This window comes from Homo sapiens, chromosome 4 (genome assembly GCF_000001405.40).
Source record: "Homo sapiens chromosome 4, GRCh38.p14 Primary Assembly".
Classification (NCBI taxonomy): domain Eukaryota; kingdom Metazoa; phylum Chordata; class Mammalia; order Primates; family Hominidae; genus Homo; species Homo sapiens.
In genome coordinates this window covers 48,383,192-48,405,919 of record NC_000004.12, presented here as the reverse complement: position 1 = coordinate 48,405,919, position 22,728 = coordinate 48,383,192, and the positions used below count along the sequence as shown (strand labels likewise).

Genomic DNA, 22,728 nt, shown 5'->3' with positions numbered 1-22,728 from the left:
CTTTGGAAGGTGCCACGTTGCCATTTTTTAATTTTGTAAACTAGTAAATAAAGGGAAAGAACAAATATTTGGTCTGAATTTCCTAAAGAAACTACCACTGGGTGACCAAATAAGGAAAAAATTCTCTTTATACAGTATTTTGACAAATAAAAAAAGGAACACGGGAATTAAAATTCCCAATTCTGTAATAACTAATGAATTATGAATCTAGGCATTACACATCAATGACTGCTAACATCATGAAAAGAGGAAACCCCACTTTATGCACCTTTGGATAAAGAAGCACTACTACCTATGCAAAAAAAAAAATAGTTTTGCAAAAAATAGCAAAACAATTCAATTAATTGTCTAGATCCAACTATCACTTTATAGAAAATACAAGGGAACTTGCTAAACAAAGCCATGAAAAAGTAATCAGCAAAGTTCAGCCTGTAAGAACCTCTGCAGAACAAATGATCTGGTGGTTTCTTCTAAGAAACAAACAATGAGAGAGAGAGAGAGAGAAAAGAAATGGAAGAAAACGATAAAGTAAGAGAAACTTAAAAAGACATATCAAAAAGGCAAAACTAGTTTCAAAACTTGGATGATAAAACTATACAAAAAAGGAAGTGACTGCTATGAAAGTTCAGAAGAGTAGATACTTTTTGGGGAGGGGTCAAGAGAGGGTTGTGTTTGGAAGCAGACAGGTGGACGATGTCAGAGGTGCCAAGTTCTAGTCTCCTGATATGGATGGTAAGGGCGTTTGCCGTATAAGAATTAATTAAACTGTGCATTGGTTTTCTGATTTCGTGTTTTATTTAAAAATAGCAAAGTTTAAAAACAGATTTATAAACCAGAAATCATTATAAATTTATTAATCCCTAAATTATTAGATAAATGCAACACAGTCTATGAAAGAACAAGTAAAGTCCTACAACATCAAGATATGGAGAGAAATACTTTAACAAAGTTTATGTATAAGTGGAGGGGAAACTAGAGAGGATTTCAAGAGGTATACTAAGCTGCAGTTATACTATTGGAAAAAATGTTTCACGGCAGCAGCATTTTGACTCATTTATAAACATGTGGGCCAGGGAACAATAAAAATATAATGAGGTTGATTGGATACAGGTGACCTTTAAAGAGTTTTGACCTAGGACTTTCTCAGCAAAGGAAATTGACAGCTGTAATCAAGATTTAACTACAGAGAAAGACAAAGGCCTTAGAAAGCCATAAAAACATTATTAAGTCTAAATGTAAAATAAACCCTATAATGTTATCATTCCAAAACTGGCATGAAATGGTCTAACAGGAATGTGTGTTTGGAGGGAACCTCAAGAACAGCCTCCATGCTCTTTCTTCTCTCATTCTCCAAATTTTACATATCAAAATCATAGGAGGGGAAACAACTCCTATCATTTTAATTGTTTCTAAGAAGTCTGTGTATGTCAGAAGCTAGTTTTGAACACAACTGTAAGAGGAGAAAGCAAAGAGGGGCTAGAATAGAGAAGCAAAGAGGAAGGATATAATGAGTGTATCTTGTTTCTGATACAGATTCAATAAATACTTGTCAGCTGATAGAAAAGAGAAGACAATTTTTAATTTTGAATCCTAGGTAATCACAAAATTCTTTCATTCTCCATTTTCAAGTAGTCTAATATCAAAAGGCATTTTAAAATCTAATCATTAGAAATGCAAAAGTCGGAGGGTGGGCCAAGATGGTCAATTGGAAGTAGCAGTGGTCTGCAGCTCTCACAGAGAGGAATGAAAAGAGGAAAGAAAGAGTGAGTTCATTCTGCACCTTGAACTGAGGTATCCAGGTTCTCGCACTGGGACTGACTAGGCGAACAGCTTGACCCCATGGAGAAAGAGGAAAAGAAGCAGGGTGAGGCAATGGCCCACTTGGATGCAGCATGGAGCCAGGAGAGCCCCCATCGCCAGCCAAGAAAGGTGGTGAGTGATTGTGCAACCCTGCCCTGACTTGGGAAACCACGCTTCTCCCACGGATCTTTGCAACCCACAGATCAAGAGATTCCCTCACAAGCCCACGCCACCACAGCCTAGGATCCAAAGCACAAAGCTGTGTGGCGTCTCCGCAGAATGGCCACTCAGGCACTCACGGAGACCCAGTAGTTTTGCATACTCCAGTTCCAGGAATTCATGCAAGGCAGGAGATCCCTCCATGCATTACCCTAGGAAGGGGGCTGAATCCAAGGAACCAGGCAGCAGTGTTCTCTGGGCTCCATTCCCACGGCACCTCACAAGACCTACTGGCTTGGAATTCCAGCCAGCCAGTGGTAGCAGGCTGGAGACTGCCTGACACAGACCGAACTCCTGGGAGGAAGGGTGGCCGCCATCTCTGTGGTTGGAGTCAGCTGTGCTAGCCTGCTGGCTCTGGAAAGTCCAGATGGTCCAGACCAGGAGTTCCCCACAATGCAGCACAGCTGCTGTGCCAGATCGTGGCCAGACTGCTTCTTTAAGTGGGACCCTGATCCATCCCTCCTCACTGGGCAAGGCCTCCCTGTGAGAATTTCAGCAACTCCAGCCAGGGTTATACGAACAGAACTCTGATGATGGAGCCCCTGGAGGAGGAGCGACCGCTGTCTCTGTGGTTCAGCCAACAGCCTTTCCAGCCTGCTGGCTCTGGAGAGTCAGAGCAGTCTGGACAAAAGGGGATCCCCCCAGAGCACCACACCTGCTCCACAAAAGGGCAGCCAGACATCTTCTGTAAGTGGGACCCTGATCCCATTCCTCCCGACTGCCTGAGACCTCCCAACAGGGGTCTCCAGATACCTCATAAAGGAGAGTTCGGGCCAGCATCAGGTCAGTGTCCCCCTGGGACGGAGCTCCCAGAGGAAGGGACAGGCTGCCATCTTTGCTGTTCTGCAGCCTTCACTGGTGATACCTCCAGATGCAGGAGGGACTGAGGTGACTAGGGTCTGGAATGGACCCCCAGAAAACCATAGCAGCCCTATGGAAGAAGGGCCTGACTGTTAAAAACAGAAAGCAACGACAACATCAACAAAAAGGACCGCACAAAAGCCCCATTCAAAGGTCAGCAACCTCAAAGATCAAAGGTAGATAAGCCCACAAAGATGAAAAAGAATCAATGCAAAAACACTGAAAACTCAAAAAGCCAGAATTTGTATTCTCCTCCAAATGACCACATCTCTCCGGCAAGGGCACAGAACTGGGCTGAGGCTGAGACAGCTGAATTGACAGAAGTAGGGTTCTGAACTTTGCTGAGCCCAATGCAAAGAAGCTAAGAATCATGATAAAACAATACCGGAGCTGACAACCAGAATAGCTAGTTTAGAGAGGAACATAACTGACCTGATGGAGCTGAAAAACACAACATGAAAACTTCACAATGCAATAACAAGTATCAACAGCAGAAGAGACCAAGTGGAGGAAAGAATCTCAGAGTCTGAAGACTATTTTCTGAAATAAGACAGGCAGAAAAGAATAGAGAAAAAGGAATGAACAAATGTGGGATTATGTAAAAAGGCCAAACCGATGAATGACTGGGGTACCTGAAAGAGATGGGGAGAACAGAATCAAGTTGGAATGCATACTTCAGGATATCATCCAGGAAAACTTCCCCAACCTAGCAAGACAAGGTCAATAATCAAATTCAGGAAATCCAGAGAACCCTAGTAAGATACTCCGCAAGAAGACCAACCCAAAGACACATAATCATCAGATTCTCCAAGGTCGAAATGAAGGAAAAAAAAAAAAAATTAAGGGCAGCCAGAGACAAAGGCCAGGTCACCTACAAAGGAAAGCCCATCAGACTAACAGAGGACCTCTCAGCATAAACACTACAAAGCCAGAAGAGATTGGGGGGTCAACATTCAACATTCCTTAAGAAAAGAATTTCTAACCCAGAATTTCATATCTGGCTAAACCAAGCTGCATAAGTGAAGGAGAAATAAGATCCTTTTCAGAAAAGCAAATGCTGAGGGAATTCATCACCACCAGGTCTGCCTTGCAAGAGCTCCTGAAGGAAGCACTAAATATGGAAAGGAAAAACCATTACCAGCCACTACAAAAACACACTGAAGTACACAGACCAGTGATCCTGTAAAGTAACCACATAAACAAGTCTGCAAAATAACGAGCTAACATCATGACAGGATCAAATACACACATAACAATATTAACTTTAAATGTAAATGGGCTAAATGCCTCAATTAAAAGACACAGAGTAGCAAGCTGGATAAAGAGTCAAGACCCATGCTGTCTTCAAGCGACCCATCTCACATGCAAAGACACATACAGGCTGAAAATAAAGGGATGAATGAAAATTTGCCAAGCAAATGGAAAACAGAAAAAAGCAGGGGTTGCAATCCTACTTTCTGACAAAACAGACTTTAAACCAACAAAGATCAAAAAAGACAAAGAAGGGCATTACATACGGTAAAGGGTTTTTAATTCAACAAGAAGAGCTAACTATCCTAAGTATATATGTAACCCAATACAGGAGCACCCAGATTCATAAAGCAAGTTCTTAGAGACCTACAAAGAGACTTAGACTCCCACACAATAATAGTGAGAGATTTTAACACCCCTCTGACAATATTAGACAGAACATCGAGACAGAAAATTAACAAAGATATTAGGACCTGAACCCAGCTCTGAATTAAGTGGACCTGATAGATGTCTACAAAACTCCCCAAACAAAAACAACAGAATATACGTTCTTCTGATCACCACACAACACTTACTCTAAAATTGATCATGTAATAGTCCTCAGCAAATGCAAAAGAACTGAAATCATAACAGTCTCTCAGACCACAGCACAATCAAATTAAAACTCAAGATTAAGAAATCCACTCAAAACCACACAACTACATGGAAAGTGAACAACCTGTTCCTGAAAGACTCTTGGGTAAATAATGAAATTAAGGCAAAAATCAAGACTTTCTTTGAAACTAATCAGAACAAAGAGACAACATATTAGAATCTCTAGGATGCAGCTAAGGCAATGTTAAGAGGGAAATTTACGGCACTAAATGCTGACATCACAAAGCTAGAAAGATCTCAAATCAACAACCTAACACGACAACTAAAAGAACTAGAGAACCAAGAGCAAACAAACTCCAAAGCTAGCAGAAGAACTGAAGGAGATAGAGACAAGAAAAACCCTTAAAAAAACAAACAAACAAACAAACGAATTTAGAAGCTTTTTTTTTAATTAATAAAATAGACTACTACCTAGAATAATAAAGAAGAAAAGGGACCAGGCACAGTGGCTCACGCCTGTAATCCCAACATTCTGTGAGGCCAAGGCGGGCGATCACTTGAGGACAGGAGTTCAAGACAAGTGTGGCCAACATAGTGAAACCCCATCTCTACTAAAAATACAAACAAATTAGCTAGGCGTGGTGGCACATGCCTGTAATCCCAGCTATTTGGGTGGCTGAGGCATGAGAACTGTTTGAACCCAGGAAGCAGAGGAGCTTGCAGTGAGCCAAGATTATGCCACTGCACTACAGCCTGGGCGACAGAGCAAGACTCTGTCTCAAAAAAAAAAAAAAAAAAAAAAAAAAGAAGAATCAAACAGACACAATCAGAAATTATAAGGAGAATATCACCAGTGACCCAAGAGAAATACAAACAACCATCAGATAATACTATAAACACCTCTATGTACATAAACTAGAAAATCTAGAAGAAATAGATAAATTCCTGGACACATACACCCTCCCAAGACTGAACCAGGAAGAAACTGAATCCCTGAATAAACCAATAATGAGTTCTGAAATTGAGGAGGTAATAAATAGCCTGCCAATCAATGAAAAGCCCAATACCAGACAGATTCACAGCTGAATTCTACCAGAGGTACAAAGAATGGCTGGTACAATTTCTACTGAAACTATTCCAAACAATTGAAAAGGAGAGACTCCTCTCTAACTCATTTTATGAGGCCAGCAACATCCTGATACCAAAACCTAGCAAAGATACAACAAAAAAGAAAACATCAGGCCAATATCCCTGATGAATGTTGATGCAAAAATCCTCAATATAATACTGGCAAACTGAACCCAGCAGCACATCAAAAAGCTTATCCACCAAGATCCAGTTGGCTTTATCCTCGGGATGCAAGGTTGGTTCAACATACGCAAATCAATAAATGTAATTCATCACATAAACAGAACTAAAGACAAAAACCACATGATTATCTCAATAGACACAGAAAAGGTCTTCAATAAAATTCAACATCCCCTCACGTTAAAAACTCTCAATATACTATGTATTGAAGGAAATACCTCAAAATAAAAAGAGACACATACGACAAACCCACAGCCAATATCATACTGAATGGGCAAAAGCTTGAAACATTCCCTTTGAAAAGCAGCACAAGACCACGATGCTCTCTCCCACCACTCCTATTCAACATAGTTTTGGAAGGTCTGGTCAGGGCAATCAGGTAAGAGAAAAAAATAAAGCGTATTCAAACAGGAAGAGAGGAAGTCAAATTATCTTTGTTTGCAGATGACATTATTCTATATCCAGAAAACCCCATCATTTCAGCTCAAGAGCTTCTTAAGCTCATAAGCAACTTCAGCCAAGTCCCAAGATACAAAATCAATGTGCAAAAATCACTAGCATTCCTATACACCAAAAACAGGCAAGCGGAGGGCCAAATCATGAATGGTCTCCCATTCACAATGCTACAAAAAGAATAAAATACCTAGGAATACAGCTAACAAGGGAAATGAAAGACCTCTTCAAGGAAAACCACAAACCACTGCTTAAGGAAATCAGAGAGGAAACAAACAAATGGAAAAACATTCCATGCTCATGGATAGGAAGAATCAATATCATAATATCATGAAAATGGCCATACTGCCTAAAGTAATTTATGGATTCAATGCTATTCCCATTAAACTACCACTGACATTCTTTACAGAATTAGAAAAAAACTATTTTAAAATTCATATGGAACCAAAAAAGAGCCCCAATAGCCAAGACAATCCTAAGCAAAAAGAACAACGCTGGAAGCATCATGCTACCTGACTTCAAACTATACTACAAGGCTAGAGTTACCAAAACGGCATAGTACTGGTACAAGAACAGACAAATGGACCAATGGAACAGAAGGGAGAACTCAGAAATAAGACTGCACATCTACAGCCATCTGATCTTTGACAAACCTGACAAAAACAAGCAATGGGGAAAGGATTCCCTATTTAATAAATGGTGCTAGGAGAACAGGCTAGCCATATGCAGAAAATTGAAACTAGACCCCTTCCTTACACCTTATAAAAAATTTACTCAAGATGGATTAAAGACTTTAATGTAAAACCCCAAACTATAAAAACCCTAGAAGAAAACCTAGGCAATACTATTCAGGACACAGGCATGGGCAAAGGTTGCATGATGAAAATGCCAAAAGCAATTGCAACAAACGCAAAAACTGACAAATGGGATCTAATTAAACTAAAAAGCTTCTGCACAGCAAAAGAAACTATCATCGGAGTGAACAGGCAACCTACAGAATGGGAGAAAGTTTTTGCAATCTATCCATCTGACAAAGGTCTACTATCCAGAGTCTACAAGGAACTGAAACAAATTTACAAGAAAAAAACAAACAACCCTATTAAAAAGTAGGCAAAGAACATAAACAGACACTTCTCAAAATAAGACATTCATGGGGCCAACAAACATGAAAAAAAGCGCATCATCACTGATCATTAGGGAAATGCAAATCAAAACAACAATGAGATACCATCTCACACCAGTCAGAATGGCAAGAAACAACAGATGCTGGCTGGCGAGGCTGTGGAGAAAAAGGAACACTTAGACTGCTGGTGGGAGTGTAAATTAGTTCAACCACTGTGGAAGACAGCATGGTGATTCCTCAAAGATCTAAAAGCAGAAATACCTTTTGACCCAGCAATCCCATTACTGGGTGTATGTTCAAAGGAATATAAATCATTCTATTATAAAGATGTATGCACGCATGTGTATGTTCATTGCGGCACTATTCACAACAGCAAAGACATGCAATCAACCCAAATACCCATCAATGGCAGACTCGATAAAGAAAATGTGGTACATATACACCATGGAGTACTATGCAGCCATAAGAAAGAAAGAGTTCATGTCCTTTGCAGGGACATAGATGGAGTTGGAAGCCATTATTCTCAATAAACTAATGCAGGAACAGAAAACCAAACACCCCATGTTCTCACAAGTTAGAGCTGAACAGTAAGAGCACATGGACACACTGTGGGGAACAACACACACTGGCGGCTGTCAGGGGCGGCGGGGGAAGGGACAGCATCAGGAAGAATAGCTAATGAATGCTGGGCTTAATACCTAGGTGATAGGTTGATCTGTGCAGCAAACCACCAGGGCACACATTTACCTATGTAACAAACCTGCACATCCTGCACATGTACCCCAAAACTTAAAATAAAAATTGAAGGAAAAACAAAAATCTTATCATTAAGGTCTTCTATAAATACTGTTTATTTCAACGTATCTCAAAATATAGTGAAAAGAGTATTAAACAATTACCATCATTAATTCCTTCTTAGTTGCCTCTTTCCTTCTGTATTTCCTTCTTAGTTGCCTCTTTCCTTCTAAATACAGAAGAGGCAAGAACTTTCATATGTTTGTTGGCCGCATGAATGTCTTCTTTTGAGAAGTGTCTGTTCATGTCCTTTGCCCATTTTTTAATGGGGTGTTTAGAAGGAAAGAGGCAACTAAGAAGGAATTAATATCCTGTTATCTCTGCATTCACTTTGTCTAATTAGTCTTCATTTTTTCCCGCTGGCTTGGTGAGGTCTCTGCCCTATTTACCTCCACTTCACTCAGTGCCCAACAACAGGGAATGAATAAAATCTTTCTCAAAGCAGTTTAAATAGCCACTTCCATGAAGTCTTAAAAATATAGACTGGATTGTTTTCTTCAGAGTGGGATAGGCTGAAGAAACACAAAAAACTTGCAAAAAGAAAATGCAAAGAAGAACGTGTCCATCCTTTTTTGACTTTAGTAGCATGACTATATTCATTCAACAAATATTTATGGAGTGACTGTGCCAAGCAACACAGTTCTTACTTTCCATTTTCAAACACCTGCTACTACTAAATGCAATTAAAATCAAAGTGACTATATTTCCAATTGTTAAGTAATCTTTTTCCTCCTCCCATGATCCTGTCACCCCTACGATATATTAGCTTTCTAGACAATTGTACAGGTTCATCCCCAGGATGGATGAATTGATTTGTGTGCCAATTTATCACCTGTTGGTCCATGTTTCTTTACTGGACACGTTTAATATGCCAAATATACCTGTGAACAGGTGGCCTTTGTCTCCTGTGTGCCTCACAACCCCACAAGAGAAGAGGCTCCTGCCAGTCAATGCAGACCCCTCCCTTTAATGTCTCGATATGAGGGGAAATCAGAAAATCCATTTTGGCCTTGGATCCAAAAGATATTCTCCATCTCAGCTTCATCAATTATTAAGCTAATATTTTAAATCTTACCTTATATCTGTGTCCATTTCTCAACTGGTTAAAAATTTACAGAGAAGAGGTAGGTAATGATAATGCCCACGTCACAATACTAATCAGAAAATATAGAAGTCTGGATCAATTTAAATAAGTAAGGGATTAAACAAAACAGAATAGCACACCCCCTGCCCCTCCTCCCCCTTCTTTACCTTTACTAAGTCAACAAGACAGCTAGAGATGCCAAGAATTCCAGTTCATAACAGTTCCAAGTTTGGGCTTTCCTGTTATCTTATCAGAGAGGATAGGTAGTTTGGTAGCTTGGAGTGATAAAAATAATGTAACCCCTATAGGCAAATTTTAAAAATTCAGCTAGAAGTTATGGTTTTCTTAACCTGATCAACACAGCAACATGAAATCTTTAGGTAAAAATTTTAAGTTATGTAAACCTACTTAATTCCAAAAAACATTATGAAACAGCTTACAGAGGCAAACAACAAAATTTATATAAACTTAAAATCTTCTACTCTTTTATTATGGTATAGTGATCTCCTGCCCTAGTTTAGATACCACAGTGTTTTCAGGTTCATGTTTTTATATGCCTCCTACCCCTAGCCATGGAAGTACTAAAAAATATTGAAAAGTCTCAAAAAAAAAAAAAAAAAAGCCTAAGGTTCCCAAATAAGTCCACAAAAACCCCTTTCTATAATAACCCCTATTAAGTCACCTCCTTTCCCATCAAACATAATCTATCCAGTCTATTACTAACATACCTGACCATGGCACCAAAAAACATTCATATTGGAGGCCCATGGTCAACTTCTGATATTCAAAATACAAACATTCATACATTCTGCTTTTTTATTTGCCTATTTGACTTACCTTCAAATCCTATTATCTAAAACTATTTCCTTAAATTATACTCAATCCAAGAAATCAGTGCAAAAACATTTGCAGTAATAAATTTGCCAAAACTTCTATTATAGCACTTTTGTAAACGTAACCAAATTTTTTCTTTTCCTTTTTTTTTTCAAAAAAAATCTAATTTCTTCTTCCTGCGTAATTTTCTTTAGTGCTTTATCTCTGTTACATATTTTGGTTGTTTAGTGAGATCTAAAGCTATCAGAAAACCTACATGTTCTGGATAGGAAAAATACTTTTCCTCTTTGTTTCATACCATTTCCTTTGAGGCCTCTGTTTGTTTTTATTACTGTTGGTCTATCCAATCCCACTGTTTTCTCTTAATTCTACTTCCATCTAGCTGCCCATACATTCAGTGTCTTGGAACCAATATTGGACAGCTTTGATGTCCGACCTTCATATATTTCTTCAACTATTATTATGAAAGCTACCACTCCATAAACATTCCAGACCTATCAATCAACCACAACTTGTGATTTAACTTCAACTACCTTCTAATGTGGAAGTGTTCCCATTTTACACAGGTAAGTAAAAGTAAAAATTGAAGTCTGAGGAAAAAACATCAACATACAGAATGTCTGACATTTGGTTCATTTTAAAGCACTTATGAAGTTCAGTTGGCAAAAAGTTGAAATGATGCCCTTTCATTTTAAGTGGGTAAGAAAAATATATTCTCTATATATCATTTACTCCTTTCAGAAAAGCAACCCAATACATACCTCTGTAGAAAATGTTTCTTCTGGATTTATCCAAATAACAGAATAAATCCTCATTATTTTATTATTCTTTAAAATAAGACTAAAATGTGCCTTACAGACACCACTGACTCAGTATGCCAAATGGCTTAAGATTTAACTAGATCATTTGCTGAAATTTTAAACTGAGTAAGAGGCTGTAGTTACCTCTTTTTGTAGATGAAGTTTGAAGCAACTGTTTGGCTTTGAGGGAAGTGCGAGGCAAATTTTTCAGCCTTTGCGAAGCTGTTGAAAAATAAGGAACTGTAATATTTGCCTGGAAGTACAAGACAAAGGCTACAGCGTCTGTAAACTTGAATGTTTTAATACAAACTTAAAAATGTATCAAAGAACAGAAGCCATAAGGTGCAAATATGTTAGAATCCTAGAAGCAAAAGAATTTTAAAGTGATGCTTAGTGCATTAAGTTGGAAAGAAAAGGGGATAGAACATAAACTTTAAAAAAGAGTTTCTTACAGGTGAGAAAATCTCCAATATGTCTATTGGTCAAAATATCAAAGAGAAAACAAACCACCACAAACATGCTAGGGATACAAAGAATACAAAGAAAAAAGTGATGAACACAAGCACACAGTATGAAGTGCAGCACTTGTTCAACGCAAAAAAAGCAGATTTTGGCAAAGCGGTTATTGTTAGATGAATTGCCCTAATGTGAAACCATAATCTGCATACTCAAAAAGGAGAAGAAAACTCAGAACCCAGCAGGTCCTTGGCGAGTCACAATCTAGTAACTTTAATATGTTCAATATCATCTTGTAGAGTACAACTAATTTTTTACCTCAGACTTTGGATATCTAAGCTGTGCACATACGTATGCAAGTGGGGAGCATGCTATGTAATGCTGGTGTGGGTTGAGGGGTTTGGAGGAGTCAGACCATCTCTACCTTTTAAAGTTTTCCATGAGGAAAGCTAAGCTTTTTTCCAAACTCCTAATCTATTAACTGCACTGAAACTCAAAATTAACAGGTAAGCAGCAGCTCAGGGCCATCCAAGATAAAAGTGGTTCCAATTTCCCCAATATACAGTTACTATGGCTCTGACAGACTGATGACTCTCACACCTACCAGTGTATTTAAGCAGCTCTAAAATATTTTAGTTACTCTGCTGATTTGAAAGTCAGACTTCATATACCTTTAGTGTTTATGTGCAAAAAAAGAGAGCTCTTGTCACTCTAAACCTAGCTAGGCTGCATAAATGTTATTGGGCTGATAAAGGGATACTTGATATATTATCAGAAAGAATTAAGATTTCTTGGCCAAGTGAGGTGGTTCATGCCTATAATCCCAGCACTTACAGGCCTTTGGGAGGCCAGGGCAGGAAGATTTGCTTGAGCCCAGGAGTTTGAGATCAGCCTGGGCAGCACAGGGAGACTCTGTCTACACACACACACACACACACACACACACACACACACAAGCCAGACATGGTGGTGTGTCTGTGGTCCCAGCTATTCAGGAGGCTGAGGTGGGAGGAGTGCTTGAGCCCAGGAGGTTATGGCTGCAGTGAGCTGTGACTGCACCACTGCACTCCATTCAGCATAGTCGATGAAGCAAGGCTCTGCCTTAATTTTTGTATTAATTTTTGTATTTTTAGTAGAGACGGGGTTTCACCATATTGGCCAGGCTGGTCTGGAACTCTTGACCTCAAGTGATCTGCCCGCCTTGGCATCCCGAAGTGCTGGAATTACATGCGTGAGCCACTGCACCCGGCCAATGGGTTATCTTACTTCTATTGCACAAAAATACAGGTTACTATCAGAGTATTTTTCATCTACATATATATTCATACATGTTTTCAACCATTTATATTTTTATTCATCTACTCACTTGTTCCTGTTTTTTTCATTCATTCAAATAGTTTATTATCTGCTTTATTCCAGGTACTGTTTTAGGTATAATGTATCCAGTAGGCAACTAGATGGCTACAGTCCCCACTCTCATGAAACTAATATTCTAGGAAAGGGGAGACAGACAATGAGGCAGTAAAATATATGGCCTGCCAGATAGTGATAGCTGCTAAAGAGAAAATTAAGTAGAAAAGAGGGACAGGAAGTAGGCGATTTAAGTTGCAATTATAAATAGAGTGATCAGGAAAGATTTCCCTAAGATGACATTTGCATAGAAATCTGAAAAAAGATAGGAAGTAAGCTATGTAGATATGTGGGGAAAGCATTCCAGATAGAGGGAAAAGCAATTGAAAAAGATACTGAGATAGGACCATGCCTGATATGTTTGAAGAACAGAACGTAGGCCAGTTGTTGGGTGGAATAAATGAGGGTAAAGGTAACCAATTGAACATACACTACAGTCCACATCACAGTCCACACTGTTAACCATTAAAAAAAAGTTTAATAAGGATTCAATATTAAATAACGTCTATAATGAACTCGTCTGGAAGGATCCTATTTGAATTAATAGCTGTGGCGACTCCAATGGACCCCACCCCTATTTATCCCTCAAGTTTCACATGTGATTGTAATAACAACAGTTATCTACAGACAAGCAAAAACTGTGAACTGGGAAATCTGAAGAATCAGATTACACACAGAATCAGGCAGTAAACTCTAAATTCACCTGATACAGAAAGAATGAAATGAACGATTTTCCTAAAATACCACAGTCATATAATGTTACTCAAATAACAAAAATCCAATGTTATTCTGAATTATCTTAATTTGATTAGTTTTCTAAGACAAAATCACTTTTAAATGACAAAGTGTAGTAGTTTAAGTGAAACTCTGAATCTTTCTAATAATAGAGTTCAGTGTGTTGGCTGTTCGAAAATATTTATGGTTTAAAACTTTCTTTGGTTATTTTAATATTTAGATAATTCCACTTCAGCAATACCTTACTGTGAGAAGCAAAGATGCTAGTGCAAAACAATTATTGTTTCATGCTACCAGTATAATGTCTTCCTCCACAAACCAGCTCCTTTAAAAATCTCTTTTCTGTTAAAACACCATTTTCCAAGTCATTCTAGCTCAAATTTTTCTTACTTTAAATTCCATTTATTAATCTCTGGTCATTTCTTAAATCTATCGCTTCCTTTACATTCCTGTTGTCTCCTAAATAACCAAATTCAGGCCTTCATCACACCCTATTTCTGGAATTCCAATCAGTGTTTTTTGTGGTCTCCCTATAGTTAATCCTTTTCACTCTGCTCATGTACATCAAGGGAAGGGTGGTGAAAGTGCTGCTCACCTCCCCAAGAGTAGGCAATAAGTGGGTGTATTGTCTGTAGGCAATTTGGAAACAAAAATAAAACCAAGTTGGTCGGCTTTCTATTATCATCATGCCCCAGCAATAATAAACATCAGTTATAAAAGCACTCCTCCCTGAAAAATAGTTGGTCTAAGCTATAAACAACTGTTGAGTTTTAATAACACACATGTAAGCTTTAAGTAAGCACATTTTATGACTTATACTTTAATAAATACCGCACTTCATGTAAGACTTAATTAGGAAAGCTCCCAGTTACAGTCTTCTACTTAAAGTCTCCCCTGATACAGGTGGATTCCACTACACATGTTCCTTTCAAGAGAAAGTTGGTAGCAATCTGAAATTATTCAAGCTCACTTCAGCGAAATGTGTGCCTCCAACCCTGTGGTACAATATATTATTATATTTAAGCATATTAGAAATAAACAACAATGGTACAGTGATTTTTAAAGTCAATGAAAGGATTTGGAGTTGCCTCAATTCTGTCATTATATGCGATTTTGAGCTTGTGTTTAAAATATTTTAACTGCGAAGACACTGAAAAATCATTAGACTTGATCCTTCAAAAACAAAGGCAAGGAAAGTATGGCAATTTCTGGAATTTACTGGAGGATGGAATTTTAAGAATCTCTGCTGAACTTATCCTTATGCTGAAGATTTTCTCTGTGTAGCAGTTGCTTCATGAAAAAAACTTTCAAAATTAAAATTTAAAGATAGTGTTCTTCCATCAAGTAAGAGTAGACAGATTGATAAATCTGGCTATGATGTACTAAGCCCCAATATCGAAAGATCAATTCTGAAGAAGCTATTGATAAGTTTTCAAAAACGAAAGCTATACTATTCACCACTGTGACAGATCAATATATAAAAACATTTTTCCTTTTTAAAAAAATGATCAATGTAACTTCAAATTATTAACCCATTGTCTATTTTTGTATTATAATGTTGATTTTATTATTTATTTTTTACTGACAGTTATAAAATACAATTTCAATAGAAGAATATTTTCACTGTCTGCATTTTTTTCCTGGCCATTAGTACTATAACTAGTTTCATGATAATTGAAAATGATTTTTTCATATATAAGAGGATGTTAAAAATTAGCTTCTCTAGGTGCTAAATACTAAGTAAGCACAGCCTCTGTGAGTGAAGATTAATTACTGCTAGGTAAAATACCCCATTGTCCCATAACCTCATTTTTGTTTAAATCTTTTATTTCTTAGAAGTTTTGATTTAGAGTCATTTGGGAGGCCGAGGCGGGAGGATCACTTAAGATGAGGAGTTCAAGACCAGCCTAGCCAACATGGTGAAACTCCATCTCTACTAAAAATACAAAAAATTAGCCAGGCATGGTGGTGCGTGCCTGTAATCCCACCTACTAAGAGGGAGGCTGAGGCAGGGGAATTGCTGGAACCTGGGAGGTGGAGGTTGCAGTAAGCTGTGATCACGCCACCGCCGCTCCAGCCTGGGAGACAGAGTCTCAGGAAAAAAAAAAAAAAGAAAAAGAAAAAAAGAAAACAAAATTCATCCAGATCTCATCACCCTCACTCCCTCACTGCTGTGTCTTCAGATCTTAATTTCTTGCCTAGATTATGCAATAATAGCCTAAGTGGTTTCTAGTCTCACCTCACTGAATCTTTTCTCCACACTGATATCAGAGTGAACTTCCTAAGAAACCACCTTGATTAAAAGCCAAATATGGCTCCTCCCACTTACAGGATGAAATTCAAACTCCTATGATATTTTAAAACTCCTACAGCCTGTCCTGTCTCTATAGCTATCATCCCCTCATGGGATGCTGTACCCGCTCCCTTACCCATCATACACCCTACACTTTAGTTATACAAAACCACTATACTCAGGCTGCCATTCTCAAGACTTTTCATTACTGATCCCACTGTTGGGAAAACCTATATCTCCTTTCTTTGTTGGGCAACTCATATAAGCTCCTTCTGAGCTGGCTGAGATATCTTTTAATATCTTTCCTGAAAATCCCTTCACACTGCTGAATTTAATGCCTCTCCTCTGTTCCCACAGAGGTTCCTGTCTAACTCTCCCTGCTACTGGAAGGCGTGGGCTGTCTTAACATTTATATTCCCAATGCTGGAAATATAACATATACCCAATAATATCTACTGAATAATTAAGGAACACATAAGTGACTGACCACTGGATAAAATCCAGAACTCTATACTAAGCATTCAAGGTCCACCAAAGTCAGGGTTTAACCCACTGGTTCTCAAACTTGAACGTGCTCCAGAATCAACTGAGATGCTTCTAAAATACACAATCTGGGTCCCTATCCCAAGGGCATTCAATCAAAATTTCCAGCGGTAAAGGCCAGAAAAACTACCTTTATAAAGTGTCCTTGTGATTAGATAACTGAGCCAACATCACTGTACTACTTAAATAGATGTTCTATAAATGTTTCATTCATTCTTAGATTAGCACATTACACATATTAATCATGACTTATTTATTTCAATTTGTGTTTCAAAATTATGTATATTTCAAGTGTAATCTACTAGTGTTTTGGTAGTAAGTGAAATCTGGATGGGAATTCCTTCCTCACTGGTCTCATAACAGGATGGCTATGCATAAGCTGACAACTGCCCTGGACAGTCGTCCTTCTCTCTTCAGTAAGAGGTCCAAGTACAATGTTGATGCTATATGCATTTTCTCTGGGGTATACTCTGTATTCCATGCAAAAATATTCTTTTGTTTGGCTAAATGTAAGCAAATGGATAATATCTCACTAAATTATTTTACTCGTCTGTGGTAATTCACAAAATACTTACAGTTAATCTCAAATCATGGTCTGACAGTCATTCAAGAATGTTTTCCAAGATGCACTCATTTGTAATTAGGTCAGCATGATCTCATCCAAACAATGAGGAAGAGGAAAATAGGAGACTCAGGGAGGAGCTGGGAAGAGGGAGAAATCTGGCCTTGCTTTTACCACTTCCCTAGTTATATGGCCTTGTACAATTCATTTAATTTATATGGATCTCTGTTCCCTTTCTATAAAAATAAATGATTTCTGATGTTTAAATGAAATAATACACTTAAACATTTACAAACAAATAAAATTTGGGTATCATTTTTTAAATCAGTAGATTGTGTTGGGTTTTTCTCCCTTCCCTTATTTCTCAACCAATTATTCCTATGACTTTCTGGAAACTAAACTTTCTGCTAAACCTGTGCTTTAACAGTCTTAGAAAGCAAGGCATTAGCCTTTTGAAAAACTCTCTCACGAACATTCCTTCCTTTAATTGATGAAACTAAGAAATTGACATGTATCCATGACCTCTGCAATGCTCTGGTTTTCTTAAACTTTTTAAGTTATATTTTCCAAATATAAAAGTCAAAAATTGGTAATAGTTATAAAAATGAAGATACATTAGAACTCTCATAAATCTCATATTTCAATGCCAGCATCCACAATAATGCAGCCACAGCAAATAAGCATATAAAAATAGTGATTGGCATAGTAACAAGGCAAAAGAAGTGATCCCTTAGGTGGAAGTAACAGCAACCTTGCAAAGTTAGGTTCATGCAGACCAGCAAGTAAGAACCAAAGCTTTACCACTTAAGAGCTGAAAAAATAAATACTTAAAACAAAATGCAACATCTGTTACACTAACAACTGAAGTTTACACAAAAAATACAAAATACCAATTCATGTATAAAGTATATAAAGCTTATTATAATAATTGTACAAATTATATAAAGACTATTATGAAAACTATGTATACTAATTTAAAAAATGCTTACATATATATTTTCATGTATCAAATATATATGAAATTTCAAGATAAATTGGTAACACTTTTTTTGCTTCATGTTAACTTTCAACAAAGTTTTAAACATTTTAAAGTAAACTTTACTAAGTTTTAAACTTGCTAATATTTTGAATTTCCTACTTTCCAAATACATTTTTGAGAACAGTATAATTCTATACCAAAATAAATATGTGACATTTTAATTATAAGCTTTACTACAGCTACAAATATAAACAAGTACATACAATTGGAAAAAAAAAAACATGGTACCTTACTTTCTCTTCTGCCTACATATTCAAGTACTGAAATACACCATTATGAAATTGCATACATACTTTCCACTTAAAAGTAAATCAATGATTGGAATCCCATTGTGTTTTCCCTATATATATTCCTTAATTATCAACTTCTGGGAAAAAAAGGAAAAGTAATTCACCTACAGAAAAAAAATTATAGGGTATCAGCAGGTGATTATAATTACAAAATGGTAATTCTACCACTAGAGAAGGCAAGCAATCATTGTGAAGTTTAAGACACAGACAATGCATTATTTCTATTAACATTTTTATCCTAGGTTCCCAACCTTTTGTTTTTTCTTCTGTTTTTGTGAAGAATTATTTTTCATTTCCATAAAGCTTTGACATGCTAGAATAGTTCAAATACAGAGCATGTATGAGGGGACGAGGTAGAGGATATAGATATAGCTAGTTTTAGAAAGTATCTGGGATGCTGTTTGGACATGTATCATGTAAACTTTTGAGAAATCCAGAATGTAACAGTTCAAACTAAATATGAAAGCATCTTTGAAAGCCAAGTACAAACATTGTTTTGGATCATCTGTTCACATGCTGTAAAAGCATGGCTTATAATATACATAAGTTTTATTATTTAACCTTCTTAATGATTTACTATTTTTCTTTCCTGTTACATTAACATTGTGGGTGGTTTTTTTTGCATCAGCCAAATGTGTCAGGGGAAAAAAGAAGCCAGAAACAGGATATTCTCAAGTGTCAAATTAATCTGTATCACTCACGATTTCAAAGATAAAGCTCAAATTCTATCCTTCCTTTCAAGTGTTTTGTGAATTCCTGTTTTCTATACTATTTATTAGTACTACAGTGAGTATTATAATGGCACTCTCAGTTACAGAGTTCACAATAAGACTTGGAGTACTAAGTTTAAAATGTAATTTGCTATAAAAACAGGTTTTAGCATATATCTAGCTGAATAAATGTGGTTTACAAATCTCTGGGTACCAATTTTCTACAGTGCTTTAAACGTTAGAATTTTAAATCTTAGGAAAAATGGAAATTATATTTCTGGATAAGTTTTATATCATGGTCTAAACCATAGATGTGACAACTCTCACTAGGTGAATTTGGACTCTCACCTATTGAGATCCAGTGCTCAAGATGAATCAACATGGGTTTAAATTCTAACTTGCCGCTTATAAGCTGTATAATCAGAGATAGGTTATTTGGCCATTCAAAGCTTCAATTTCTAATCTGTAAAATGTGGTAATAATCGTACCTCCTTCATAGAATTGTTCTAAGGATTAAATAAGATTATGCATCTAAATACAGTATAATATAAATTTGTTATATAAGTAATATCATATGCACCTTGTAAATAAGGAAAATTTGTCAATATATCACAGAAGTCATTTTGATTCAAATATAGTTTTTTCGTAGCTTTTTTTTTTTTTTTTTTTCTTTCAATAGACTGGAGTGCAGCAGCATGATCATGGCTCACAGCAGCTTCAAACTCCTGGGCTCAAGCAATCCTCCCACCTCAGCCTCTTAAGTAGCTGGGACTATAGGCATGTGACCATCATGCCTGGGTAATTAAAAAAAAAAAAACATTTTTTTAGAGACGAGGTCTTGTGTTGCTCAGGCTGGTCTCAAACTCCTGCTAGCCTGTTGATTTTTGAGCCACTAAGTAACAACAGCTTAACATGAAGTATATGAAGTCAGCTAAACACAACAGGGCCAAGGAAAAGTGTGAAGAAATTAAATTAGCTGGGCATGGTGGTGCACGCCTGTGGTCCCAGCTACGCAGGAGGATCACTTGAGCCCAGGAAGGTGAGGCCGCAGTGAGCCATGATTGTGCCACTGCACTCCAGCCTGGTGACAGAGTGAAACCCTGACTCAATCAAAAAAAAAAGAAAAAAAAAGATGAAAATGAAAAAAGGGTTAAATATCTTCAAATTTTTAACTGCTTAATAAACAAGTTATAAGTGAACAGTCAACAAACTCGTTTGTATCACTTCTTCATAGCCTTGAGAAAATGAAAGAATATAACACAGCTACCACTTCAACCACTGATAGTAATATGCCACAAGGATCTGAGACAATATGCATCCATTGTGTACCTACAAGGATCTGAGTGAATAAGCATCCCTTGTGTCCCTACAAGGACCCCAGTGAATATGCACCCTTTGTGTCTCAGAGCTCATATACGGGACTGATGTGAGCTGTGAAACACATGGGATGAATACTGAGCGTTCATAAGATCATAAAAATAACTGTAATCATTTATTTAAAACCGTTTTGACTACACGCTCAAATCTATCCTAGCTAAAAAGTAATTTTTTGAAATTCCTTTAAAATCAACTTGTACATTAATATACACAATGCCCATTTACTCCAACATCACTACTTCTTGGCTCAGTTTGGCTATTTTGTCCTAGATGATCTTACTGTATGATTCTCTCTGATCTTCGTCTATGCTGCATATGTTTCCTTAATTCAACAGTCTCAACCTTTCCTTTCCATCACATTACCTTCAAATCTTTCTTTAAAAATGAAGTTCTATATCTCCTGGAGTATTTAATAAAGATTTAACATGAATTTAACTGTGCTAGTATCATTATTGTTTTTATTAATGCTTTCTAAGAAAGTTGCTTGGGTTTTCAGTGGTCTGTTCCAGGACTATTCCCTCCACTCCTCATCATCCTATCATTTTTATTGTGTAATACTGCAGAATGTGAGGTTTTTAAGGAGTGCATATTTTGTGCTATAGTAGAAATGCCTGTATTGATTTAACATACTACTTGCCACAAAATAAAAACTCAAGTATCTATTACAAATAATAGTTGAATACAAATACTGTCACATTCATGGGTTAGTAACCACCCAATGACCAAAACTTATTAAAAATTATAATCTACATGTGTTCTTTCTACTATACTTCTAAAATTCACCTTCTCTGTTTAAGAGTTTAGCTTTAACTCTAAGAATTTGTTTTCTGAAAGATAATTTAAAGAGACAAGTCCTGATCAATTCTTAAAAAGTGATGGTTTCTGGCAATTTATCTCAAATTTTAATCTATAAGTAGGATTAGGACTATGAATTAATTTGGCATACATATTGATTCAATATTGTATTTTTTCATTAAAATAGCCTTAACAAACACAGAAAATCAAATCAAAACCAGAAATCTTATCTCAACAGATGCAGAAATAAAATGAGATCATCCAAGAGTTCTCCTGGTATACTTTTGTTTTGGAAAGAAAAGAACTTCAACAATTCAACTTTGATAACAGATTTAATATATTGCAGGTTTGAACAATGGATTATTTTGAGTATGATTCTAAAATTATGTAATAATCAAACTTTTAGGTATTTTTAAAGTGGAGGTTATTAAAGAAAATTTACGTACTAAGGGACATATATTTTTGGATGCTCTACTGGTTTTTATTTCTAATTCTAGTATCTATAAGCAAAAGCTACACCTACTTTTTTAATAGTTACATTTTGCTTATTTTAAAATTCTGGAGAGACCAGAGTTTTGTATAGACAGATGTACTGGCAGAATCAAGTATCCTACATAGAAAATTTTAAATTGTAATATAACTTTGATTATCATCCAGCAACTAATAAACACTAAATTTTACTATAGCTATGGTTTAAAACGGTTTTTCAGCATAAAAAACGGTTTTTCAGCATAAAACAAATATCTAAAATTTTCACTTCTCTTTAAATAACTGATACATGAAAGCATAAGAAGGATACTTACTGGCTGAAGCCTGAGGTTGCATACGAGGTATTCCTCCGTTTGGCACTTGAAAATTTGAGTCACTTCTGCTGCTTTTCACTGAGTCAACTTGTGTATTAGATGTTCGGGACAGGTTTGGAAGACTGCGTCTTAGTTTTTCTGCAACAGAATTTTAATTTTAAAAAAATCATATTCTTTCAGATGGAGAAAATTAAAATATTAACTAGCATTCAAAAATCAAATTGTTTATCAAACATTCTGTTTATTTTAGATGAGAAAATACAAAGGACTTGTCTTATTAAAAAAAACAAACAACTCGATCTAGGATCTGTTAAGTGGGTAGAATAAGAGAACACTTAAAGATAACCACAAATTTTATATTTAAAGCAAAATCTAAATACAGGTAACTTCATAAAACAATAAAGCAAAAACAACATAACCAAGTAAAATGAAATTCACTTTCTCTTTTATTTTTGTAATGATTCACTATTAATAAAATAGTAAACCTGACTACACTCTTGATTTACTTATCTGAAATACAAAAACTTAGCAAAAATTGTATTACTTTCATAGTGAAATATAAAGGACACTTTTTCTCTTTTTTTAATCTAGAA

The 22,728-nt window shown here is 36.5% G+C and overlaps 1 protein-coding gene across 3 annotated transcripts in view; it reads right to left on the bottom strand.

Annotated features, from left to right (window-relative positions):
* The window catches only part of SLAIN2 (SLAIN motif family member 2), an 84,673-nt gene that overhangs the window by 20,282 nt on the left and 41,663 nt on the right, over nucleotides 1–22,728 (bottom strand). For 2 of the 3 annotated variants that reach the window (XM_005248121.4, XM_047416023.1), the window contains exons 6-7: nucleotides 22,136–22,273; nucleotides 11,267–11,344 (exon numbers count right to left, since the gene is read on the bottom strand). In XM_005248121.4, the coding sequence (XP_005248178.1) occupies nucleotides 11,267–11,344; nucleotides 22,136–22,273 (216 nt within the window). The remainder of the gene's footprint in view (nucleotides 1–11,266; nucleotides 11,345–22,135; nucleotides 22,274–22,728) is intronic. The other variant, NM_020846.2, reaches the window with a different exon arrangement.